At 44.9% G+C, this 27,126-nt stretch overlaps 1 protein-coding gene, 1 long non-coding RNA gene and 1 pseudogene across 3 annotated transcripts in view, besides 3 other annotated features; all 3 read right to left on the bottom strand.

The window, feature by feature from the left end:
* The window catches only part of TOP1 (DNA topoisomerase I), a 95,666-nt gene extending 84,268 nt beyond the window's left edge, over window positions 1–11,398 (bottom strand). The window contains exons 1-2 of the mRNA NM_003286.4: window positions 11,120–11,398; window positions 10,765–10,789 (exon numbers count right to left, since the gene is read on the bottom strand). Coding sequence (NP_003277.1) covers window positions 10,765–10,789; window positions 11,120–11,152 — 58 coding nt within the window. The 5' untranslated portion in view covers window positions 11,153–11,398. The remainder of the gene's footprint in view (window positions 1–10,764; window positions 10,790–11,119) is intronic.
* Window positions 11,058–11,127: a silencer, noted in NCBI's record as "silent region_12912". NCBI's record gives its function as "represses an Ori minimal core promoter by ATAC-STARR-seq in GM12878 lymphoblastoid cells {active_cell/tissue: GM12878}" and the evidence as "EXISTENCE:reporter gene assay evidence [ECO:0000049][PMID:35858748]".
* Window positions 11,348–11,699: a silencer, noted in NCBI's record as "fragment chr20:39657161-39657512 (GRCh37/hg19 assembly coordinates)". NCBI's record gives its function as "represses an EF-1alpha promoter that drives an FKBP-Casp9 reporter gene in an ReSE screen in phorbol 12-myristate 13-acetate-treated (for megakaryocytic differentiation) K562 erythroleukemia cells {active_cell/tissue: K562(+PMA)}" and the evidence as "EXISTENCE:reporter gene assay evidence [ECO:0000049][PMID:32094911]".
* Window positions 11,368–11,662: an origin of replication, noted in NCBI's record as "Prom amplicon; peak of nascent strand synthesis detected by quantitative PCR of size-fractioned DNA". NCBI's record gives the evidence for it as "EXISTENCE:fractionation evidence [ECO:0000100][PMID:12004060]".
* The window catches only part of LOC100128988 (uncharacterized), a 44,684-nt gene continuing 32,381 nt past the window's right edge, over window positions 14,824–27,126 (bottom strand). Inside the window, exons 3-4 of one of the 2 annotated variants that reach the window (NR_145524.1) lie at window positions 21,025–21,110; window positions 14,824–16,451 (exon numbers count right to left, since the gene is read on the bottom strand). This is a non-coding gene — a long non-coding RNA (uncharacterized LOC100128988). The remainder of the gene's footprint in view (window positions 16,452–21,024; window positions 21,111–27,126) is intronic. The other variant, NR_145525.1, reaches the window with a different exon arrangement.
* RNU2-52P (RNA, U2 small nuclear 52, pseudogene) lies at window positions 15,829–16,015 on the bottom strand (annotated as a pseudogene).

Raw genomic sequence — 27,126 nt, 5'->3', positions numbered from 1 at the left:
ACAGCTTTTATGTATTACCCATATCAAGATACTTCATGGATTAGGAAGGGGCAATAATATTTCAATAGTTTCATAAAATTAGTTTCCCAGGACTTTAAGTAGAGTTTATTCTCTAAGATTTTAGTTCTTCAAATATGTGAAGATGGTGATTTTAAATACTTTATTTCAATCAATTCAGTTCAAGGATTTAAATTATTTCAAATACTTGAATTAGCTATTGTCACATGATTTCTCACACAGAATGTGACCATCTCTAGCCATTCCGACAACCTACCTGCTCAGGAAATGTGAAAACTATTTTTCTTTTTTTTTTGAGATGGAGTCTCGCTCTGACGCCCAGGCTGGAGTGCAGTGGCGCAATCTCGGCTCACTGCAAGCTCCGCCTCCTGGGTTCATGCCATTCTCCTGCCTCAGCCTCCCAAGTAGCTGGACTACAGGCGCCCGCCACCACGCCCGGCTAGTTTTTTGTATTTTTAGTAGAGACGGGGTTTCGCCGTGTTAGCCAGGATGGTCTCGATCTCCTGACCTCGTGATCCGCCCGCCTCGGCCTCCTAAAATGGTGGAATTACAGGCATGAGCCATTACCAAGCCCAGCTGAAAACTATTTTTCTAAAATTCATGCAACATGGATGTCTGATACAAAAAGATAACAGGAAATAAATACACAGAACTTAAATCTTTTTGCCTATTTCAGGCAAAAAAGTTTAATGGGTATATAGGTATACAAAAAAAAACCATTTTTTGTAACATTTTAAGAAATAAGAGTTTGGAAATCTTTGGAAATCCAAGGTCCTAGGTCTCCAATTTCTTTAAGGGGGGAAAAACTCACGATTAGGACTAAATGGAGACGTCACTCTCTTGCACTGATAGTGAAATATTAACTGCCAGAAAGTACCTCCAGTCCCCATTCATGTTGTATGACAGCAGCCTTTGTACTGAGGCCTAATGAAAAATCTCAACAGAGGAAGTGACTGTATATACCTACAACGTACTAATTTCAAAGTTCATCCTGATAGGCATGTGGGTTTGTCTTGTTCATCTGTGTCTAGTCACAATATTCACTTTCTGAATGTTTGTATGAATGAATATGGCAACTTAAACTTTTCCATTTACAATTAAACGTGAAAATTTTAGCTTCCTAAGTAGATGCCAAATATTGCACCATCCCAAGTGTGAAAGGAGAAAGTTAATCACTGCCAAAGATGATGATGATTTTTTTTTTTTTTTGAGACAGGGTCTCACTCTGTTGCCCAAAACGGGGTAGGTACAGTGGCATGCTCACGGCTCACTGCAACCTCCACCTCCCGGGGCTTAAGCAATCCTTCCACCTCAGCCTTCTAAGTAGCTGGGACTACAGGCATGCACCAACACACCTGGCTAATTTTTGTATTTTTTTTGTTGAGACAGGTTTTTCCCATGTTGCCCAGGCTGATCTTGAACTCCTGGGCTCAAGTGATCTGCCCATCTCGGCCTCCCAAAGTGCTGGGATTATAGGCATGAGCCTCCAGGCCTGCCCCAAAGATTTTTAATCCACAATTTAAGGTATGAGAAACAAACAAAGTGGTGTGTATGCAGCAAGCCTTGTCACTGGACAACTGAAGTTGCCGCAAAGTCAAAGCAAGTCAGTACCCTCCTGAGCCAGCCTTTCTATGATTTACAGCAATAGTATCATACTCAATGCTCCCTAGTGACCCCTCCAGCTTGGTTAAAATTTCACAATAGATATATGTGCAAATTTAAAGAAAGTAAAGATGTTCCCTTTGTACAAAAGCCTAATAAAGCAATTTCTGAAAAAGGTGTTGTTGTTGTTGTTTTTTAGCATTGGCAAGGAACTAAAAATTCTGTTCTAAGCTTCACCTTTCATAAAGTAATCCTCTCATGCTCTTTAATCCTCAATGTTGTAAGGTAAGTATTAAACCTACTTTATAGGTGAAGAACTAAGGCTCTGATATTAACTTGTTCAAAGACCTAGCCATTGAGCAGAAGCTCAAGAACTCGAATTTAAATTCCCTTTAAGTCTCTATTATGGGGTGGTGGGGATGTAGAGGGGGTTGGAGGCCGGGAGACTATTCGCATTCTGTATCAGAGGAAAACGAAAGAAAAAGAGACCAAAGCTTTGAAGACTTTTAAATCCAACCCTATTGTGGGCACATTCCTTGTATACTGAGGGCAATGGAGCTACAGAGCATTAACAAATACTCATCTTCCCAGATTTTTTTCCCCATATTTTATGAGCTATATTTTTCCTGATATGTTTATCTTTGAAGACTCTTTAAAATTAGGCCCTATTCCATAATTTCTATACAACAAAATTATGTCCTCCTGCCTACTTTTAATTGAATTTAAGTCTGCGCCTGTTGTGATGCTTCTGTGATAATCCTTTTGCTGAATGGCGTAAGATCTCTACTAAGATCCATTTGGCTTAAACCTAATGAACACTAGTGAACACATCCTTAAATGACTTTTGTTTATTTCCTTTAAGTAACACTTCCAAAAAAACAAATTCAAGGCAATTCAATATTCAGCATTAGCTAGACTTATGAGCCATTACTGAAATTTCTACTGACTTTATCAAATTTTTTCATGGAATCTCCCAAATGCCTATACTCACGCATAACTGTTAACACGGCATTTGGTACTAAATTCTCACACATAAGCTTTATTATATTATTTAAGGTATTCTTATTCCCAAGAATTACTATTTCAAAGAAAACCAAGTTGGTCACTTTAAGCAACTATTTGAATAAATGAAAAACTGAAGTAATTCTCAGGTGCTTTGAGAGTTCTCTGTTTAATTTAAAAACGTTTTGGGGGAGAAGTAAAATAGTGGCCTTTGAAAAAATATGCTGACACAAGACATATTGAATTTTGTGGTTTTAAAAAATTAACAAATAATGAACTTGGCATTTTATTAAATGCATCGAAAAGGGTCAAGTTATTTTTAATAGAAAATCCATAATTCTATTAAATGGTTGAGAAATTAGTCACATCAATAGACTTCTTTCATTTCTGAGCCCATCTTCTGTACTGCTACAAGTTCCTTTGGCAATGACCACTTTGCTGTAAACATTCTTAGAAAAGTAGGAATTAGGCTTGGCGCGGTGGCTCATGCATGTAATCCCAGCACTTTGGGAGGCCGAGGCTGGTGGATCACGAGGTCAGGAGATCGAGACCATCCTGGCTAACACGGTGAAACCCTGTATCTACTAAAAATACAAAAAATTAGCCAGGCGTGGTGGCGGGCGCCTGTAGTCCCAGCAACTTAGGAGGCTAAGGCAGGAGAATGGCGTGAACCTGGGAGGCGGAGCTTGCAGTGAGCCGAGATTGCGCCACTGCACTCCAGCCTGGGTAACAGAGTGAGACTCCATCTCAAAAAAAAAAAAAAAAGAAAAGTAGGAACTAGATATACAATTGGATCCTTCTCAGCCCAAACCTAGATATGAAGACACCTTTTACTTTACAGTGACCGCTTTGTAACTGGAAGACATCAGTGTAGGCTCTGCTGATTCAATTAGGTAAAGACTCAACAACACTAGTTACATGTTACAATTCACTGTGTAAATGTCAAGAAGATTTAAAACTTTAACAGGGAATACCAATGAAAGACAGACTCCCCAACATCAATCACTATTTCAAACCTAACATTCAAAATAAAGATCCAGTTGAGAATAGAGGCTGTCTCATCAAAGTTTACATTTTACAATGAGGACAGAGAGGCACCTTCATATACTTATCTAATTCTCAACAGTTTGTGAAACATAAATATTATCCTTGCTTATGGATAAGAAAACAAGGTTCAGTGGTCAGATCATGTTTCATAGGAAGAACAGGGACTTATCTCGATTTTTCGGAATCCTACACCAATTTTCTATTTTACCACAGCTGTCTCCTCACACCCCCACTCTTCCCCTAGACCTAACATTCCACATACAAAGGGTCCAAGCTATCTCTAACAGCAGATAATCAAGGGCAGGTTCTGACATCTGTACTAGAAGCTTACCAATTACAGCCTGAGTGGGGTTTCCAGAATCTGGACCAAGGCAGCATGTTATCAAAAAGGGGACATGAAAAGGCATAAAGGGTAAAAAGAAAAAAACGTTTCCTTTCCTGGTCTCTGGTTCTCCCCATAAGCCTATGCAATCTATATTATCTTTATTCAATTCAGATTTAATGCACATAAAAATGTGGTGCCTAATAAGTTTTCAAAATTAGTTCCCTTCATCCCACTTCTGCTGCTTGGCAAGAGCTCACATAGTCAACTACAAGGAAACAAAGGGGCTACCTTACTGGAGTCAGGTTAAGTAAAAGGTCTTAGCCAATGAGATCCACAAATGACAATGATCCTGAAGCCTCCTAGATTAGTCTCCTGCACAATCAGTAATATACCTACAAAGCTTTATAAATCTGGGCATTCATACATATATGATAGCAAGATTAACATTTGGACTTCTACTAAGGGGAAAAAGGGTGTATTATTCTGGTGGAGGACTAACCTTCAACAAAGAACTTTTTTTCTATAAACTCCAATAGCCAAGAAAAGTCCTAGGCATCTATCTTTGCTAGCGTGTGCTAAGAAAAACAATATAAAGAATAATGGGACCACAAGCTGGCTGGGTCGGTTTCGTTCTTAAAATATAGGAAAACGTCAGAATACCCAGGGATCTGTTAAATTCTTTTCCCAACATCATCATTTACAACAACAAATACAGGAGATCTGAAGTCCCTAAAAATACTGATTGCTTTAACATCTTTTGTTGGAGCTTACCTAGGTGTTTCTTAGGAATGCTAATGAACTGTGTTCTTTAGGCTCCTTGAATCCACAGAAACAAAAATGTTAATTTCAAAGGCTCAGAGGGGAATTAATTGCCTGGTAGAGATGCCTCCCCACCCCAAATCTGATGGGAAGGGTAGAAGGGAGATGGTAAATTAAAACATTTATTACACATTTCAGAAAAATTTAGCAGACAGGTAAGTGAGTGAAACTAGAAGCTTAAGACAACAAATGAAAAATGAATACCTACCAAAAAGAAATTAAGGGTCAGGCACAGTGGCTCATGCCCAGCACTTTGAGAGGCTGAGGTGGGCAGGCTGCTTGAGCCCAGGGGTTCAAGACCAGCCTGGGCAACATGGCGAGAAACCTCGTCTCTACAAAAAATGCAAAAATTAGCCCGGCGTGGTGACATGCACCTGTAGTTCCAGCTACTTGGGAGGGTGAGGTAGGAGGATCGCTTGAGCCCAGGAGGCAGAGGTTGCAGTGAGCTGCAATCACACTACTGCGCTCCAGCCCGGGCAACAAACAGAAACCCTGTCTGCCCCCCACCCCGCCCAAAAAAAAAGTAAAGGAAAGAAGTTAAAATTAAAAGTTGCCTACCTTCCTTGGAATTTCTTTCTTACTAAACGTTAAGAGACATAAATGACACACATAAAGACAGTTAATACAAACTTCGATACAGATAGCCAAAGTTGATATTACGATCTATATACTCCAGAGATATGCATGAGATACCAGTAACATCACTTCTCTCCCAGTGTGAAAAATATCTAGGATCTTTCCTATACACACAGAAAATGTTCAACAATATCTATTTACTATTAAATCATTTCAGCAAACTATCAGCCATTTCTCATAACGCCACCAAAATACCATCAATATCTAACAGACATTCCTCTACAAGCTTCCCCGCAACCCCCAATCAAACTTTGTCCACCCTGCCCTCATTTACATCCCTCTCCACCCTTCCCAGGCCCTATGCTATCAACACAGCACATACTGTCCACATCTAGATAGGCAGGTGGCAGGGAGGGTGGGGGTTGGCAAAATGCTAATTATTCCAACCCTGGCCTCTATTTTAGATTTTCTACTGCAGCTATTGGCCTGGAGCCATGGGGATGGAAAGCTGCTGCTCAAACTTGAGATGTATGAGGCATGGAAATAGGGAGAAAAGACAGTTCCAAATATTACTACTCGAAGTTTAAACACAATCTGAAAGCTTCCTTTAAACACAATACCCATTCGCCTCTTAAGGACTAGTTTGGAAGTCTCTAAACTTTTTACCTTAAGAAATCCATGTGTCAACTGTTTGCCTAAATGCCCTTATTATCCAAAGTTAATGGTTTCAAAATAATTAAGGGATAGTCAGATAATCTAAACCATACAACACAGAAAATTCACTCAACTGACTCTCACCTCCACATCCAATATATTTTACTATTCTTTCAATAGGGTTTTTTTTTTTAAACCTCCAGGTCCAATGTCAAAATACTCATTTCAAACATTTCCACAGCTTCATTCAAACTAATTACATTTGAATTCATTTTCCCAAGCAAACACAGTTTACTGGAGTTCGACACAGTTTCACATGGGAAAGATGCAATCCCTCACAAAACACACTTCTGAGGAAACGACTTTGGATTTGAAGAATATCAGTTTTACTTTGCACTAAAAAGATGGCAAAAGGCAAAAGTTGATAATGATGTGTCATATAAATATGCATTCATGTCCAACTAATATGAAATAACATGGTTTTAGTATAATCTGAAACTTCTAAAATGATATGTATTCAGAAAGCACAACAGAATCATTTTCCATACCATTAGCAGCAGGGACAACTGTTACTATATAATTAATATACAACAAAGCTGTATATTAGAAGGCAAACATTTTTTTGCACCTCCCCACCCCACACATGCACTGAAAACAAGCAAAACAAAAAAACCTCACAGCCCAATTTTGGAATATAAACTTTAAGACATGTTATTTAATAATCTGAACAAACTAATGAATGTCTTTCCAACTCTCTCAATTCCCCATCTTTATGCTGACAGCAAGGGGAAAAAGTCAGACTCAATTCCTTTTTTTTTTTTTTTTTTTTGCTGCTATTGGTTAAAATGAGATTTGGGGACTGACCTTGGTTTCCTATTTTCCATTTTACTCTATCTACTGAACCAAAGAAAAGCAGGAGTTGGTGACCGTTACTGCTAGCTATATTATTTAGTTTGCACCTTTCAAGCCACAACGTATTTCTGATTCTTTTAGTGATGCCTGGATTTTCTTGTTTTTACTAGAAACATCCAATCCGAGCCTAAAATTTGTTTGTGAGATCTGATATGCTGGTAAACTAAAAAAACACATATTGACAAGCAACTTTCTTTTATGTCAAAGCATAGTATAAAAATCCTAGCGGCTCACTAATTCTAAAAAGGTGCCTCAAGGAGTCCAGTTGCAATGTAAGGGAAGAAAACCACCCTGGAGCATAATGCTTAAGTATTTCCTGATTGAGTCTGAGGATGCTGCAGATTTCATTTGGCGGTACCATCACTTTTCAGTTTTAAAAATGTAGTGGCAATTTTCAGATAGCCACATCATCAGCTATCTGAAATTCCCCCACCGCAATCAGCTATGCTACCGCCCATCCCAACCCATACCCAACAGACAGAAGTACAACTATCTATTAGCATCAGAAACAATTCATATTTAATTACCTTCATCCAATTTGATTCCATTAAGCCAACCAGAATCAGCACAAGATGATGTCAAACCATGATCCTATATATCACTTCTTAGACTAAAGACTGATGGAGCCAAGTATTGTGCTTTGCTAAGGGGGTCAAATGGGGGAGAACTCCCTATCTCCATAGCAGACAGGCAAAAACTTCAAGACCTCTGAAACAGCAGAAGAATCGCTAACACTTTAACCTGGTATTACCATTATCAATTCTACAGATAGCTACGCAGCCTGTACAGTACTGTAATAATGACTCAGCCCCACTACAGTTAGTTCTACCAATACTTAGGAAGTCTTTTCACTTAGACTTAGATATGGTTTCTGCTCCAAATTCCTAACTCACTGTCAACATTTTAAATATAAATAACAGAGTCTCCCAGCAGTTGAGTATGGGTCAGAATGTTCTAAATTACATGCAAAGAGCTACAATTTTAAATATTGCGAAGAATGAGCTCCAAAGTGGGGGGACGGGGGGGAATCTTTTATATCTTAGGGGATGAGGGCAGGCAAAATGAGAGACGTTTGATTTTAATATATGAACTTGTACAGTTAATCTGTAAGATGGGTTAGGCCCTCTTAAAATCACGCTTAAACAATCTCTTAATACAAAGTTCAATAATGACATGTCTGGGCATAATTAAACATTGATTTCTACTTTTTTTAAAGTTTTTTTCATAGTTACATAAATCAATCACTGGTTAACAATGTATTACTTGAGATAGCAAGCATAGTTACCAACACCACATCTTCCAGACAATATTCACAAAGAATAATTACACCAATGTCAGAACTTTATGGTGGCAGATTCTCTTCAAAAAGCATGTTTAGATAAAAAGCAAATGACAAATTATCAAATCCTTCCTTCTCTCCTTTTTCAGCTCTGTAAGAAAATAGAGATTTGTGGCTTTTTATTTTTTCATGCTAGTATCATATAGTATCACTCTAGCATAGTGGCTCAGCTCATGGGATTTAGAGTGGCCAACTCACAGCCCTTGGGCAAGCTAGTAAATACACTGAAGCCTCAGTTTCCTCATCTACAAAACAGAAATAACAGGACCTAACTCACAAGGGTCCTTCCAAGGATTACATTTAATTAGATGATCCATGGAAAGAGCTGAGATTCATGCCTGGCAGTAAGTATTCAATAAATATTAGCTATTATTGCTATTAAATGTGAGCCAACACATTCTAAAAGTCAACATACGCAGATTACTTCAGCCTCTATAAAAATGTCAGTAAAGATCAATAACCTAGCCAGCTCACAATCATTCACGTGACTTAGGTGAGAACCATGTAAGTTAACTTTCTCACAAGAAAGGGCTAAACTTTGTTTCATTACTTACATTACCTACTCAGCCCAGCCTGACAGCCAAAAGAACACATTCCATATTAAAGATCCCACCTTCCTCTAGCAAGGTCAAAAGGACTTCTTACATCCTCACCTGCACATCCTTTCTTTGCTCCTGTATCCCAAAGAAACATGTCTATACTGTGGCTTTCTAAACTGCAGGCCTCACCTCCTCCCTCTTTTAAAATCGTGATAGGTTGGTTAAACGTACTTAAGAAACACTCCAACCCCTGACAATTCTCTGCGCCCAGTCTTCCACAACCCCCAGCTCAGAAGTCACCTCCTCTGAGAAATTTCCCCACCCTCAGACAAAATTAACTCCCCTATACTTCAAAGCATTTTGGGTACACATATGCCCCAGTAGTTACCTTATAATTAACTAATTATGTCTCCCCCAATAGACTGAATTGAGAGCAAGGGAGTGTTATGGTTACAGGATCAGCTCTAGCACCAAGCACAGTGGTTGGCACATATCTGGTGCTCAAGAAATGCCATACTTTAAACCAGATTCTCTCCTGGCTGAGTACCATCTCCTGCTGGATGCCCCACTTCAAACTCTGAACATAAGGTTGCTCTCAGTAGAGCAGGCTAACATGATGGACTGCTGATTACAACATTAGAAAACCTACTCATCAACTTCTCCCATTGGAGAGGTTCCCGGAACCCAAACTCAATTGAGCAGGATTATGTACCATCAAAATCAGTGGGAATTCCCAGCACACTACAGAAGGTAACTTCTCCTTCAACAGGGTTGTTCGAAAGCCTGCAAGGATGAGCTTTTTATTGGAGGACTCTTCCCTGGGTAACTGAAGTGGAAATACAGTAAGAATAAATGCCTTGATTTGGCTGAAAAGGGTTCAAAAACATAAAGAATTGGGAAAAAAAAAAAAAGCCAGTTCTTGATTCCTGAAAAACAGTGGCTCGTGAAAAAGAATGAACAGGAAGCAGGGGTGGGTACTGGACACTCTTTGCTTCAATAAATAAAATCTTTTTTTCCTCCTTACAACCCAAACGAAAAGGCCAACACACCAGGTCCACAAGAGATGCTCAACAATCTTTCCTTCCAACAAGTACACTAAACTGCGTTTCCAGAAAAACACTGCATTGGGAACCTCGACCACAATGAAAAGTTCCAGTGACTAACATAATTTTTTAAAAATCCAACATTTACATTGGGTGACCCACAGAGAACTTGCAAACTTTCTTTAGGGAGGTACTGCTACCTTTGCAAAGAACGTAACTTGGGAAAAACAACCTGGAAATATAAAGAACTCCACAAAGCGTGGCTTTAGTTTTAGAGCCATAATTCCTATCATAAACAGCCTATCAAAAAAAAAATTAACAGTTGCTTAAGGAAATCTTTCATTCTGGAAGCAGAAAAGGAAACAAACATGAAGCATAAAGGGAATAACCCCCAAAATAAAGTTTAAAAAATAATAATTCAGTCCCCCAGCCTTCCCTCTCTGGTGAAGTATGTGATTTATACGGCTTTGCTCTGCAGAAAGCTCATTCTGGGCAGCTCAAGGAAAGAGCCGAGGGAGGGAGAGAAAGAGACACAGGCACAGAAAGGAGAGGAGAGAGAAAAAGAAAATGGCGCAGAGACTAAGTCCCGACCGTCGACAAGGCGACTTTCCCGGGAGGAATCCCGGCCCGGAAAGACCGCCCGAGGCCCGGTGGCGGACGACACGGGGTCTCCGTTGTCCCCTCTTGGGAGGGCCGGGATCTGGAGGAGCTGGGGTCCCCGGAAAGGGGGTCAAGAGGCGGCCCGATGGGAACAATGGGGCCGGTGAGCGAGGAGCCGGGACTTAGTCTCTGGGACGCCATGTCTGTCCTCTGCCCGGCACCGGCAGGGCGCGGGGGAGGCGGCCGGCGGCTGGGGGGCCCCGGAGTCGGCGCAGGGGGCACACTCACCATTCAATCGGAAATCCGCTTCGATCTGGAAAAAGAAAAGGAGAGAATATCAAACAACAGCCACTTTAACCCCTCCGGCGGCGAGCGCGCGCGGCCGGGGTCTGGCTCACCCTGCGCCCCCGGGGAGGACGGGGACCCGGGGGTGGCCACAGAGGGCAGCCATCCCTGCCTCGAACTGTAACTTCGCGGCCCTCGCTCGCGGCCTAGCGAGCCGATCTACTCCGGCAGGCGGCCCCTCACCGGGGGCTCCGGCCTGTCAAAGCTGCCGGGCCGGGGCTGGGGTCGGGGCCTGCGCCGGGGGTCGCGGGACGGCCAGGCCGGGGTCCGGGGCCGCCAGGGTCAGGCCGGGCCGTACCTGGGAATCGTTGTGGAGGTGGTCCCCACTCATGTCGGCCCGGAGGGACGAGCGCGGCGGCAGGCGAGGCGGCGTGGGGGAGACGCAGACGGCGAACCGGCCTGTGCGGGCGGACGGGGACTCCGGAGGCTCGAGGAGGCGCAGGTAAGCGGCGGTGACTGTGGGCCCGAGACTCCAGAAACGGCTGAGGCTGCTACCACGGCGGCGACGCTGCCTGACTGCCGGGCGGGCGGCGAGAACAGACCCCAGCAGTTGTGTAACAGCCTAAGTTCGCATTTGGGCTCACTGCGCCTGCGCGGCCGCTTTTAAACAACACGTCGGCGACGTCAGCGCTCGCGGAAAGAGGCAGAGGGTTGCGGCCCGCCCCCTCGCTGTTCGCCAGACGGACCTGTCTTTGCATCGCAAGCCCCGCCTCCGGACCGTGCGCGCTCCGCTGTGATTTGCATAAGGAGCCGACTCCTCCCACGGCGTCCCACCCCAAGCAGCCTCCCCTTCCTCTCCAGACGCTTTTTCTCGGAACCCCAGCCCCTCTGCTAGGCAGTGCGCAGGCGCCACCCGGGCACCGCCTCCGGACCAGGGCTGGCCGCGCAGCCACGTGGTGGGCCTTTAAAGGCCGCGGCGGGACCCAGCAATCTTGGGCAGAGCTGGTATCCGGCGTCCGCATCTCCTTGGAGCGGCGAGTACCTTGGCAGCTGGGACCCCAGAGGTCTCCCCAGCGCCTCCTTTCTTGCTAAGCCGACCCTGAGGCCGCCTGGTGGGAGGAGTCCCCTCCCCAGCCTTTGTCCAGGCCCTCCAACTTCTGGATTATTTCACGCCCACTTTTTAAAAATTATTTTAATTTTTCAACCAACCAAGGGTCCGGTTTAACCCCAGTTTTCCGCCGAGTACATGTAGCCCTGGGTCACCAAGGGTCTGATTTCTTTGGTTCATTCTACAAATACTTATTGAGCATCCGCTATGAGCCCAGGAATTGTGCTGAGGGAAGGGGGAATGCAAGAGACCAAAGGGAACTGAACCTGTCTCTATCCGCCCCTGTATCCCTGGCATGCTGGGAGGACGGGGCAAATGGGGAATAGAACTACCGTTTATAGAGCATCTATTCTGTGCCCAGCTCTGAATTCTCACAATAGCTCTGTGAGGTCGCCTGTATTACAAAAGTCAAACTGTCCTAAAGACAAGGGACCAACAGCCAGCTACCTTGCATCTATAGTTGGATACCTCTCAAGCTTCTCTGGGAATGAACTGAACTCCACTCAGCTAGAAAAAGCCCCATCCTGACACCTTCCTTTCCCTCATTTCCCACTAGTCCCGCTGATTGCATCTCTTTGCTTCATCTACTTCTCTCTGCTGCCCATAAGCCTTTGAAGTCTGCGTTCTCCTGCTTGGATTAATACAATGTGCTGGCTGGGGGTGGTGTCTCACACTTGTAATCTTAGCACTTTGGGAGGCCGAGGCTGGCAGATCACTTGAACCCAGGAGTTCAAGACCAGCCTGGGCAACATGGCAGAACCCTGACTCTACAAAAAAATACAAAAACTGGCGGGGTGTGGTGGCATGTGCCTGTAGTCCCGGCTACTCGGGAGGCTGAGGTGGGAGGATCACCTGAGCCCGAGGAGGAGGTCGAGGCTGCACTGCACTCCAGCCTGGGCAACAGAGTGAGACCTGGTTTAAAAAAAACAAAAAACAAACCAACAAAAAACACCGCACTCCAAAACACTACACTTCTAACAGGGATTGCTGCTTCCATTCTTGGCCCTCTCGTAAACTGCATTCCAACAATTGCCAAAGTGATCTTCTCAATATGCTAATCTAACCATTACTCCTTTGTGGATATTGCCACATCTATTACCACTTTCACTATTATTATTTCATATTTTAATTGATCTCCTTTTTATTTACCTTCATCCTAAGTGTTATCTGTGAAATAATATCTATGAAATCATTTGGAAGTAAATATGAAAACTGTTCATCCAGTGGACCATCAGTATCTTTATCACATCTAATGTTTACCATCACATGTTTACCATTAGATGTGTTTACCACATCTTGTGAATGCTTCAAGATCAACCTAAATATCACTTTTTCAAAGTGACTCTCCGGCGCACTACTGACCCTGCTTCCACTGGCTGACCAAGGGTGCCTTATAGGCCAGGCGCGGTGGCTAACGCCTGTAATCACAGCACTTTGGGAGGTCAATGTGGATCAATCACTTGAGGTCAGGAGTTCAACAACAGCCTGGCCAACATGGTGAAACCCTGTCTCTACTAAAAATACAAAAATTAGCAGAGTGTGGTGGTTCACACCTGTAATCCCAGCTACTCGGGAGGCTGAGGCAGGAGAATCGCTTGAACCTGGGAGGCAGAGGTTGCAGTGAGCCGAGACCGCACCACTGTACCCCAGCCTGGGCAACAGAGCGAGTGAGTCTCAAAAAATAAATAAACAAATAAAAATAAAAGGTGCCTTATAGTATCTATCTCCTTTGTAACACTTATGACACTTGTTATTAAGTTACAAATGTAGTAATTGGTTTCCTGTCTATTTCCCCTATAGCAAGCAAGGTCTGTGAGAGGGGGGAATCTTGTCCATCTTGCCTACCACTGAATTCCCAGCACCCAGCAACAGGCCCTCCTACAGAAGAGGTGCTCAAGAAATGGGCAAATCAAAGCAGGTTACCCTGCTTTGGTTAGGAGCACACATTTGGAAGTCAAATCAACTTAGGTTTGAATTCTGCTCTGCTGTTTGTTACCTGTGTGATATCAGGCAAGTTGTTTAACTTCTCTGAGTCCCTGTTTCCTCATCCACTCCATGGTGATCATTGTGGGTATGTAATGACTATCAAAAAATAATGGTTTGAGGGCAGGCACCTAGTAAGTGCTGAGTCTTGGATTCATACTCAGGTCGGCCTGACTCCAAAGCTATACTCTTTCTCTGAAGCAAGCTGCCAGAGCCAGTTTTGCCTTGCTGTTGGTGTCTCTTCTCATACTCTTCCCATCTCAGGATCAATCCCTGGCCAGAAGATGAGGCATCTGCTTGCTGCAGTGAGTCCAAGATAATTTGAGGACGGCCTTCAGGAATAACAATGCATCCACACTACTCCACTCTCCCAACCCCCCGTTTCCCAGGGAGAATCTGCATTTGCTTTTTTTTCTTTTTTTTTTTTTTTTTGAGATGGAGTCTCTGTCACCCAGGCTGGAGTGCAGTGGTGCCATCTGGGCTTACTGCAACCTCCGCCTCCTGGGTTCAAGCAATTATCCTGCCTCAGCCTCCCGGGTAGCTGGGATTACAGCCACGTACCACCACACCCAGCTAATTTTTGCAATTTTAGTAGAGACAAGGTTTCACTATGTTGGTCAGGCTGGTCTCAAACTCCTGACCTCGTGATCTGCCCACCTTTGCCTCCCAAAGTGCTGGGATTACAGGCATGAGCCACTGTACCCAGCCTGCATTTGCTTTCCAGGCCCCTCCAAAGAAGACTAGGTAGGCATGAAAACAGCACAGACTTCACAATGGCAGACCGAGGACATCCCCGTGCACAGACATGGAAATATCCGGGCAGTCTTGTCACAGGCTGAACTTCTCTGCCAGCATGTGTGGCTGGCAGTGCTCAGAGGTTGACTGACTTACTCTGTCTTACAGAGACCACTCCTGACTCCTAACACTTCAAACACATGTCCCCACCATATGGTACTTGAGGAGATTATTGATAGTGCATGGACAAGCATTTTAATTCTAATAGATATGTATTTCGATGTGTATGAGAAAAAATAACCATTGTTTTAAGGATATAACTGGGATGAGGCTTTTTAAAAAAGTGATTGATTTACATAAAAACATATAGGAATAGTGCACAGAGCGGACATATAAGACAAACTCCAGGAAGGCTATAGGCAAATAAATGAGGTTTGGGAAACACTGCTTTAAATCAAGACTGTTCACTCATGGACCATCCCAACCCTTATAAAAATAACTAGCAGGTGAAAACTGGTAGTGTAGGTCTGTCTCCAAAGTATGCATTGGGAACAGTGGACGGTTTATAGATAATCCACTAAAAGAAGAGCTCCACATACAAATACATACATTATTATATTTACAGTTAAACAGGTTTTTTCCCAGGTGCCTTCTCAGGGTCTTCCATATGTAAATACTTACGTGACTCTTGAAAAGAGGGACATGGTGTGCAGCATCTCCAAAATGTAGGCAAACCCGGCCAGGAGCGGTGGCTCATGCCTGTAGTGCCAGCACTTTGGGAGGCCGAGGGCGGGGGTGGATCACCTGAGGTCAGGAGTTCGAGACCAGCCTGGTCAACATGGTGAAAACTCGTCTCTACTAAAATTACAAAAATTAGGCCGGGCGCAGTGGCTCACGCCTGTAATCTTAGCACTTCGGGAGGCCAAGGCAGGCAGATCACCTGAGGTCAGGACTTTGAGACCTGCCTGGCCAACATGGTGAAACCCTGTCTCTACTAAAAATAGAAAAATTAGCTGAGCATGGTTGGCACACACCTGTAATCCCAGCTACTTGGGAGACTGAGGCAGGAGAACTGCTTGAATCCTGGAGGCAGAGGTTACAGTGAGCCAAGATGGCGCCACTGCACTCCAGCCTGGGTGACAGAGCGAGACTCCATCTTGGAAAAAAAAATGTAGGTAAATCCAAAAACACTTTTTTCCAGACTACCTCTTGAGACTTGGGCTTTTTGGGGGTGGTAGAGAGGGTGCACCATTCCTGGAGGTACTGCAATCCAGGCCAATGTGTAGAGTGGACAGAGCAAGCTCCTATTCCATCTCCTTGCTCCAAAAATCTATTTATTATATTATCCTCAGATAGAGGATGTATCAGATATTAAACTGGTAAGAACAGATACTGCACATGATCTTAGCCAGAAGGCCAAGAAGCAATGAGACTTGAGCTTTTTGAAATGACTGAACCTCAAGACTCTTGATCTAGGTTGTCACCCAAGATCTAGTTCTTATTCATCTGATTCCGACTCTCTTAGGCTAGTTATCAACCTGGCCCAACTCTTGTCTCCCAGAACTGAACACCTCTAGCGTTGTCTAAACAACTCTTGCTTTTCAGGGACCCATCCATCTGCACACTTTCCCCGGACTGCAAGATTATGGAGGAACAAGATACACAAATACACAGATGTGCTGCTACAGTTGTTTGGACCAGGATGGGCACTTGATCCAAGCTGAGCCACTCAGGTTAACTTCCTTAAGGTTCTAGAATTCAGAAGAAAAGAGTGGTTCCATCTGTCTTCTTGTGGATAGATCTGTAGTATGTAGATTAGGGAGCTGCTCCTGGCGATACTTGCTGTTGGAAGGGCCAGAGAAACCTGGAAGTGGGGGAGGATATAGGAGAAAGTGGGTGGAGGAAGAGAAGAGATAAGAGATAGAAGTCCCTCCCGCCAGATGGCTCACACCTGTAAGCCTAACACTTTGGGAGCCTGAGGCGGCTGGATCATTTGAGCCTAGGAGTTTGAAGTCAGCCTATGCAACATGGCAAAATGCTGTCTCTACAAACAAAAATTAGCTGGGCATAGTGGTGTGTGCCTGCAGTCTCAGCTACTAGGGAGGCTGAGGTGAGGAACACCTGAGAGGCTGAGGCAGCAATGAGCCAAGATCGTGCCACTGCACTCCAGCCTGGGTGACAGAGTGTCACCTTGTCTTAAAAAAGAGAGAGAGAGGACCCTGATGAATGAAGTTCAGGACCCTCGTTCCTACTTTCTCCTGAAGCCTGGTTGCATGGTTCCTGTTCTGGCACCTTTAAATTGATTCCCCCTTTTGCTTAATTGCACTCTGATGGGTTGGTCCTAATCTCTACTTGATTCCTGGGCACTCACAAGGCTTTTGTCATCCTTTTGGCACCCCCTCTGGGGCTATCATGCTGTGGAACAGGATGTCCCACCTGACGTTTTGACCCTTGGATGCTGGCACATTCTTGACTTTGCCAATTCTTTGACAGTGATGTCTTCTAGCAGCTCTCCCCGCCCATGCCTAAGAATCTGCTGCCCTTTCAAGATTCCGATACCCTTGGAAAAGAAACTGCTGGGTGCTCAAGAAAGGAGATTCAGGCTGGTGATCTCAGGAACAACCAGAAAAGCTCTTTGCCTCCTAGAATGAAACAGCTCAGCAACAGTTGAGATGTGTGGAATAAAAAGGTCAGAATCAGGCCGGGCGCAGTGGCTCACGCCTGTAATCCCAGCACTTTGGGAGGCCAAGGCGGGAGGATCACCTGAGGTCGGGAGTTCGAGACCAGCCTGACCAACATGGAGAAACCCCTCTCTACTAAAACCACAAAATTAGCCAGGCGTGGTGCTGCACGCCTGTAATCCCAGCTACTAGGGAGGCTGAGGCAGGAGAATTGCTTGAACCTGGGAGGTGGAGGTTGCAGTGAGCCGAGATTGCGCCATTGCACTCCAGCCTGGGCAACGAGAGGGAAACTCCATCTCAAAAAAAAAAAAAAAAAAGGTCAGTATCAATAAGAAAGCTGGCAACTCTTGAATTATGAAATGAGAGGCAGTCAAGCAACAAAGATGTAGGATCCTGGCCATGTGGCTTGGGGCAAGAAAAGTAGTCCACTTGCATCTCCATTGTCTTCCTGCCAGAATACATCCTAAATGAGGACATTTATTCATTCAACCAGTATTCCCTGAGGAATGAAGGCAAATAGGTACTACTTACCTATTTGAGGTTGGTAGGTCCTATACTAAGCCCTAGAGATACAGCTATTTATAAGACCTAATCCTCATTTTGGAAGAGTGCCTAGTCTGATAATGAGACAGAGGTATTCTCCAGCTGTAACACTAAGGTATAAGGAATAATAGGGAAGAGGAGGCCAGCCACCAGTTGCTGTGGGAACTCTTGAGTAAAGGAGCACATCCAACTCACCAGTGGTGGTGGGGGCAATATTAGGAAAGGTTTCTAGTTGGACACTATTCTTGAAAGATGAGGGGTTGCTAGCCCGTGGAAGAGAAGAAAAGATATTGCAAGAAGAGAGGCAATATATGCAGAGCCATAGCTTTGGTCAGGATGGAGCAGAGGGTAAAAGTGAAGATATAACCAATGTAGGCTGGGCAGGTGGGAGAGGCCCTCCCAGTTCTGGTGGAGATACTGCAAGGTGAATTATGACAGGGTTTTAAACAGGTATGAGAACAATCACAGGCAGCAGAGGGGGAACAGTTTGGTGGAACTGACACTGGAAATAGGCAGATTAGCTCGGAGGTCCAGGGAGACCATTGTGTTTCAGAAGCAACCTTAATCATGGAAGATCATTTGGAATACCTGAAGATAGAAAGTATCTGTACCTGTGACGGGGACAGAAGGATTTGGCCTGTGTCAAGGGTATAGCCCAAAGAGAAGTTGTGAAGCAGCTCTCTCTGAATCCCCCTCTCCCAATGTGTGCTGCTGGGACATCCTGCGGCTGCCTGAGTCCAGCTGCCTCCAGCTAGAGAACCAGCAGGCAGTGGGAGGCATAGAGGCAGAGACCAGGCTCCAGGAAACACTGGAAGATTCTAGGAGTGAGAGAAGCTCCTAGAGATGCCTCAGCATGACTCCCCAAGAAAATGGAACAGAAGTAGCTGCTTCATTCAGTAACCAGCAGGTGATCCTTTAGCCAAAGTTGGGTTTTGAAAAGGCCTACTTCCCCATCCTCCCTCTCCACAAGCCCTCCAAGTCCTCAGTCCCCTCCCTTCCACCTCCTCAAAGCCTAGTTCACCCGAGCATCTTCTCTCCCTCCTGCATGGCAACTTCTCCTCCTCCCAGTTTTCCTCCTTGACCCTGTTAAAATTCATGTCTCACGTTAATTGGTTGCTTACCACGTCTCTGCCCTGTGCTGAGTGCTTCACATACATTTTCATATAATCATTGCAATAACCATATGAAACAGGGGCTACTTGTCCCACCGTTTTAGACAAGGAAACTGAGACTTAGGAAAGTTAAGTAAGTTAACTTGCCCAAAGTCACACAGCTATTGAGTGTTGGGGCTATGATTTGAACTTAAGCAGTGTGTGTATGGAGCCCAGTCTTAGAACCCCTAACCTGCTTCCCAAGTTGTCCTTAGGTCACTGTTGCCCTCACCTGTGTTTGAAAGATTCAGAAAGGACAGTCTACATGTGCTGCCTTTTCTGCTTTATTTTTCATTCCTTTAACACTGTTGGTCTGGCTTCTATTCTAATCAGGGACTTCCTAGTTTCCAAGTAGAGTAGCCTATTCTTCTCCACCTTCCTGCAACACTCAATGAGGTGGATGAGCACATTCTTTGAGGTCCTTTGCATTTGGATCCAATGACCATTAATTCTCCTGGCTTTTTTCTTACCTGTCCAAATACCATTTCTCTCTCCCTCTCTTCTTTCAGCACAATTTAATGGATCCCCAAGATTATATCATCACACTTGTCTTCTCTCTATATGCCCCCATCTTGGTAGCCTTGTTTTTATCTTGAGACGGAGTCTCACTCTGTTGCCCAGGCTGGAGTGCAGTGGTGTGATCTCAGCTCACTGCAACCTCACCTCCCAGGTTCAAGTAATTCTCCTGCCTCAGCCTCCCGAGTAGCTGGGATTACAGGTGCCCACCACCACACCTGGCTAATTTTTATATTTTTAGTAGAGACGAGATTTTACCATGTTGGCCAGGCTGGTCTCAAACTCCTGACCTCAAATGATCTGCCCACCTTGGCTTCCCAAAGTGCTGAGATTACAGGCGTGAGCCACCGTGCCTGGCCAGGTAGCTTCTTAAATGAATGTCTCCAGCCTTGACTCCTTTTTAGAACCATAGAAATATTTACCCATATGCCTATTTCATGTGTCCACTTGATGACCCCCACAGCCCTTTGGTCCTGGGTTCAGCTTTTCTCCTGAAACTGCCCTTCGCTTCTATGGTCTCTGCTTAGTGAATAGCTCTATTCCTCCCAGTCACTCAGGCTCAGAACCTTGAAGCCTCTTGAGTTAACCCTTGATCCTGTCCTCCACATCCCATTGGTGGCTACTACCTGTATGGAATCTGCCCAAGACTTTCCTTTGTAATTGTCCCTCCTTCCCCAGGTTATCATTGCATCCTGACCCTTCTTTGGCTTCCCTGCATCACACACACACACACACACACACACACACACACACACACACACACAATCAACTATAAGCCAGGTACTAAGCTAGTATTAGGAATTCAGCCGTGAACTAGAAAGACAAGGCCCCTGCTCTCAAGGAGCTCAGGTCTGGTGGGTGAGACAGAGAAGGGAACAAGTAATTGTCACTTACTGTGATGAGTGCCTCGAGGATAAAGTACAGTGTGTTTGCGGTAGGAGCCCTTTAGAAGAACTGCCATCCAGAATTACAGAGTCAGGCACGGATTTCCAGTGGAAATGGCACTTAAACTTAGGTCTCAAAATGGAAACAGAAGTCAGCCAGGTAAAGGTTGGGGAGAATAAAGAAGGCAAGTGAGGGAGACAAGCACTCAAGGCCAAGAGAACAGATGGGCAAAAATTTGGAAACTGGAAAGAGCAGGGTTTATGTGGGGAACTGCTGGTAATTCAGTATGGCTAAGGGGTAGAGGGTGAAGAGGAGTAGTGAGAGATGAAGCTGGAGAGGTAAGCAAGGCCCAGTTCATGCAGGGTCTCTAAGGCATTTGCAGTTTATCTTCATAGCACTGGGAAGTCACTGAGAGTTGCTATGAGCAATGGAGGAACATAATATGTGTTTTAGAAAATATTACCTACAGGCCAGGCATGGTGGCTCATGCCTGTAATCCTAGCACCTTGGGAGGCTGAGGTGGGCAGATTGCCTGAGCTCAGGAGTGTGAAACCAGCCTGGGCAACTTGGCGAAATCCCGTCTCTACTAAAAATACACACACACACACACACACACACACACACACACACACATAAATTAGCTGGGTGTGGTGGCACACACCTATAATTGCTTAAACCTGGGAGGCAGAGGTTGCAGTGAGCTGAGATTGCACCATTGCACTCCAGCCTGGGCAACAGAGCAAGACGCTGTCAAAAAAAAAAAAAAAAGAAAGAAAATGGATTTAAAGTATTCAAGACTTGAGGCTTGGCTGGGCATGGTGGCTCACACCTGTAATCTCAATGCTTTGGGAGACCAAGGTGGAAGGATTGCTTGAGCCCAGGAGTTCAAGACCAGACAAGGCAAGATAGCAAGACCTCATCTCTCCCCGCAAAAATGTTTTTCAAATTAGTCAGGCATGGGAGTATGCACATGTAGTCCCTAGCTAGGCAGGAGACTGAAGTGCGGGGATTACCTGAGCCCAGGAGTTTGAAGTTACAGTGAGCTGTAATCATGCCACTGCACTCTACGGAGTGACAGAGTGAGACCGTGTCTCTAAAACAGAACAAAACACTACACAAAGCTTGTTAGAATACAGTTAAGAGGTTATTGTCATCATTGAGGCAAAAATGATGATGATGGCCCTGATCAGCAAAAAAGCCATGAGGATGGAGAGAAGTGTATGTGTTTCGGGGATATTCATGACATAGGGTTGATGTATTAGTGACTGATTATATATACAAAGGAAAGGGAGTGGGGGAGTCAAGGATGAGGATGGCAGTGCATTCACAAAGACAGGGAACACTTGGGATCTGTTTTAAGGAAAGATGATGAGTTCATTCTGTACATGTTGAGTTTGAAGTGTCTGTGGGTTAGCTGAGTCAAGATGTCTAATAGGCAGCTGAATACGTGAGTTTGGAGCTCAGGAGAGGGACTGCAGGTTATTAGTATCATGGTAGTACCTGGAGTTAATTACACTAGATGACATCATTTGGGAGGGCCTGGAAGGACAGCCTTATTTTAGGAATGGACCTGAGTTAAGAATGAAATAGAAGGTGAGGAAGTGGAGATAGCAAGTTTGAACAAGTCATTCAAGAGATTTAGCTACAAACAGTAGGCAGAATATAATGCAGCAACTAAAGTAGCCTGCGTTAAGAGAGGGTTTTTGTTTCTTTGTTTATGATGGACATGACACACTCATGTCTAATAGGAGGGTCTGCAATTTCCAGTTCAGGGCCTTTTGGCTCATGCCAGCACCCTTGACAAAGTACTAGCACAGTTGATATGCCAGGAACTCTGGGTCAGATAAAGAGTGAGGTCCGTTCGGAGGAGACACCCCTCTTTGCCTCTAAGAGGTGACAAGCTGCTTCCAACCTCACCTCTAAGATTCTGGTACCTTTCCCACAGGAACTCACTTGAGGATTGACTCACAGAACTAGTTTTTCAGGATGGCTCATGCAGGCCCCTGAGGATATTCTCCTCCCAAAGGACAGAGTCCAGGCCTACAGGGTCTGTCCCTACCTTTCCAGGATCAGCTATGGGTGCCTGGAAAGGGGCCTGGCAGAACAGACACCAGCTCTGGTGGTGGAACTAGAGAAAGACACTCAGAGCCCAGGAAGATGGAAGTTCCTCATCAGATTCTGCAGTCAAGTTCCACTGACATTCCCTGATGCCTATTTGGTGCCAGGCCCGGCTAGTAGTTCTGTGATGAACTCAACATGGCTTCCACCTGGAGGTAGAGAAAATAGACAATTACAATACAGAGTTCTGGGACCTTGTGAGAGAGCCCTCAGGGCTGGAAAGCCAGGAAGACTCTTCCTTGGGAGCCCAGCCTTAAGGGTTTGATGGGAGAAAGATAATGCTAAAAACTCTAAATTCTCCCACTGACCCAGAACTTAGCTTTCCTTCTATTTTTGGAAAACATAACCTAATAATTTAAACAATCTATTTAAAACTTTTTTTTTTTCTTCTGTGGACTTTTCCCTTCATGGTGAGCATTTGGGTTCAAAGGGGGAGACAGAACTTAGGGAAAATATTTGCACAAGTCCTTACAGAATGTTCAAACCTAGCCTTCGAACCCCCAAATTAAAAGCAGGTGAGGCCCCCACTGCTGGATGTTGGATAGCCCCTGGGCTCAATCCTCAGACCTTTTTCCTTTGTCCTCTTGATTCACTATCTTATTCACTCCTGTGGCTTTAAATACCAACTATATACTGAGAAGTTCTAAGTTCATACCTAAAATCAGGGCCTTGCCCCCAGGTGTCAAACTTATGTATCCAGCTGCCTACCTAATATTCCTATTTGGACTTCCAACAGGCTTCTTAAACATAATGTGTCCCAAATCAACCCTCTATCTTTCCTCTCAAGCCTGTTCCTCCTTTGGTCTTCCCCAATCATAGTTAATGGCTCAGGTCATCCTTGACTATTTTTTTTTTTTTTTTGAGACAGAGTCTCACTCTGTTGCCCAGGCTGGAGCGCAGTGGCAACATCTCGGCTCACTGCAACCTCCGCCTCCCAGGTTCAAGCAATTCTTCTGTCTCAGCCTCCTGAGTAGCTGGGACTACAGTTGCACACCACCATGCCCAGCTAATTTTTGTATTTTTAGTAGAGACAGGGTTTCACCATATTGGTCAGGCTTGTCTCGAACTCCTGACCTGTCGATCTGCCCACCTCAGCCTCCCAAGGTGCTGGGATTACAGGCGTGAGCCACCACGCCCCGCATCCTTGACTCTGTTTTGCCTGCCTACTCCCCCTTATCCAATTTGTCAACAAATCCTGTTGACTTCACCTTCAAATATCCTGATGTTAACCATTTCTCACCATGCCCTTTGCTTTCACTTTAGCCCAAATTGCCATCATCTCCACCTGGTTTAATGTGGGAGTCTCCTAACTGGTGTCCTCTGCTCTATGTTTGTCATCTCATGGTATATAGTCAGAACAAGTGATCCTTTAAAACAGAGTGGTCCTATTTAAGACTTGAGATCCTGGCCAGGCATGGTGGCTCACGCCTGTAATCTCAGCACGTTCAGAGGCCAAGGTAGGAGGATGACTTAGAGCCAGGAGTTCAAGATCATCCTGGGCAACAGTGAGATACTATTTCAACGAACATTTTTAAAAATTTAGCTGGGCCTGGTGGCACATGCTTCTAGTCCCAGTTATTCAGGAGGCTGAGGCAGAAGGATCTCAAGCCCAGTAGTTTGAGGCTGCAGTGAGCTATGATCATACCACTGCACTCCAGCCTGGGTGACAGAGGAGACCTTGTCAGTTAAAAAAAAAGAAAAGAAAAGAAAAGAAAAGAAAAAGGGCTGGGCACAGTGGCTCACACCTGTAATCCCAGCACTTTGGGAGGCTGAGGTGGGCAGGTCACCTGAGGTCAGGAATTCGAGACCAGCCTGGCCAACATGGTGAAACCCCATCTCCACTAAATACACAAAAAATTTAGCCAGGCGTGGTGGCGGGCGCCTGTAGTCCCAGCTATTTGGGAGGCTGAGGCAGGGTGAATTGCTTAAACCTAGGAGGCTGAGGCTGCAGTGAGCAGAGATTGCACCACTGCACTCCAGCCTGGGCCACAGAGTGAGACTCCATCTCAAGAAAAAAAAAAAAAAGAAAGAAAGAAAGAAGAAGGTCGGGTGCGGTGGCTCATGCCTGTAATCCCAGCACTTTGGGAGGCTGAGGCGGGTGGATCACCTGAGGTCAGGAGTTCGAGACCAGCCTGACCAACATGGTGAAACCCCGTCTCTACTAAAAATACAAAATTAGCCAGGCATGGTGGCACATGTCTGTAATCTCAGCTACTTGGGAGGCTGAGGGAGGAGAATTGCTTAAACTCAGGAGGCAGAGGTTGCAGTGAGTCAAGATTGCACCATTGCACTCCAGCCTGGTCAATAGAGTGAGACTCTTTCCTGAAACAAAACAAAACAAAACAAAACAAAACAAAACAAAACAAAACAAAACGTAAGATCCTGTCACTCTTCTGCGCAAAACTCTCCAGTGGCTCCCATCTCATTCAGGGTAAAGTCAAAGACTTACAATGGCCCCAAGGCTCTGCCACACCTGCTCCCCTCCAAGGCCTCCCTTGACCTCATCTGCTGGTGCTGTACACCTTGGTCACCTCTTTCCAGCCACTCTGGGCTCTGTAAAAGCCTATCACACACCACTCATTCTCCAGCATTAGCCCTTTCATTTGTGGATCTTTCTACCTCGAACGTCCTTCCTCCAGATATCTCCATGGCCTAGTGCCTCTCTTCTTTCAGATCCTTGCTAAACTAAGACAGGCCCTGACTACTCTATTTAAAATTACAACCCCCTTCCCTCAGTTCTTCCCTCTTTCCATCCCTGCTTTATTTGTCTCCAATGCACTTGTCACCATTTGGCCTACGGAATATTTTACTTATTGTTTTCCCCGTGTAGTATGTAATCTTGATGACAGCAGCAATTCTTATCAGTTTATTTATTTATTTATTATTTTTGAGACAAAAATAATATTATTTTGTCACCCAGGCTGGAGTACAGCAGTACAACCATGACTCACTGCAGCCTTGACCTCCTAGACTCAAACAATCTTCCCACTTCAGCCTGCTGAGCAGCTGGGGCTACAGGTGTGCACCAACATGCTCAGCTAATTGTTTATATTTTGTAGACACAGAGTCTTCCTATGTCGCCCAGATTGGTCTCGAACTCCTGAGCTTAAAGGTGTTCTGCTTTGATATCCCAAAGTGCTAGGATTACAGGCATGAGCCACCGTGCCCGGCTTTCTCAGTTTATTTAGTGCCACATTTCTACCATCCACAGAAGTGCCTGACACACATAAGATACTCAATTAACATTTGTTGAATAAATGAATTATGGGCTGCAACGGGCTCCTAATATGTGTCAAGCAGAGGCCTGGAATGTACCAGAAAACTCCTTATAGTGAATAACATGGTTCCCATTTTTTTTTTTTTGAGATGGAGTTTCGTTCTTGTTGCCCAGGCTGGAGTGCAATGGCACAATCTTGGCTCACTGTGACCTCTGCTTCCTGGGTTCAAGTGATTCTCCTGCCCCAGCCTCCCGAGCAGCTGAGATCACAGGTGCGAGCCAACACGCCCAGCTAATTTTTTTGTGTTTTTAGTAGAGATGGGATTTCTCCATGTTGGCCAGGCTGTTCTGGAACTCCTGACCTCAGGTGATCCACACTCCTCGGCCTCCCAAAGTGCTGGGATTACAGGTGTGAGCCACCGCACCCGGCCATGATTCCCACTTTGCAGATAAGAAGATTGAGGCTTAAGGCTGAGTGTGGTAGCTCACGCCTATAATCCTAGCACTTTAGGAGGCCAAGGCGGGTGGATCACCTGAGATCAGGAGTTTGAGACCAGCCTGGCCAACATGGCGACACCTCGTCTCTATTAAAAATATAAAAATTAGCTGGACGTGGTGGTTCACACCTGTAATCCCAGCTATTTGGGAGGCTGAGGCAGGAGAATGGCTTGAACCTGGGAGGTGGAGGTTGCAGTGAGCCCAGATCACACCATTCACTCCAGCCTAGGCTAAAGAGCAAAACTCTGTCTCAAATGATAAATAAATAAATAAATAAATAAATAAATAAAAAGAAGACAGGCTTGGGGAAGTATGAGTGCCCTTTTCCTCTGTTCCTATAGCAACTTGCGCATGGCCCCAGTCTCAGCACCTATCATACTGCACTCTCATTATCCATTTCCTCAACTAGATGTAAGATTTTATTTTATTTTATTTTATTTTTGAGATGGAGTCTTGCTCTGTCGCCCAGGCTGGAGTGCAGTGGTGCGATCTCGGCTCACTGCAAGCTCCGCCTCCTGGGTTCATGCCATTCTCCTGCCTCAGCCTCCTGAGTAGCTGGGACCACAGGCACCCACCACCACGCCTGGCTAATTTTTTTAATATTTTTTTTATTTTTTAGTAGAGATGGGGTTTCAGCGTGTTAGCCAGGATGGTCTCGATCTCCTGACCTCATGATCTGCCCGCCTTGGCCTCCCAAAGTGCTGGGATTACAGGCGTGAGCCATGGCACCCAGCTAGATGTAAGATTTTTAAGTTCAGGGACTATTCTATCTTTTATTTATTGTTGCATCTCCAACACCTGGCAGAAAGGTGGGCACATAATAGGTGCTTAAGAAATATTTGTTGCATGAATACATGAATGAAATGGGCAAGTCAGGGTACAAACTCACAAATTTCAAAAAGAAAAGTCTCTGCCCACCCCACCCCCCTC

The sequence above is a fragment of the Homo sapiens genome, chromosome 20 (assembly GCF_000001405.40).
Source record: "Homo sapiens chromosome 20, GRCh38.p14 Primary Assembly".
NCBI classification, from domain to species: Eukaryota; Metazoa; Chordata; class Mammalia; order Primates; family Hominidae; genus Homo; species Homo sapiens.
Note: the sequence above shows the minus strand (reverse complement) of the source record. Positions and strands in the feature narration are given on the sequence as shown.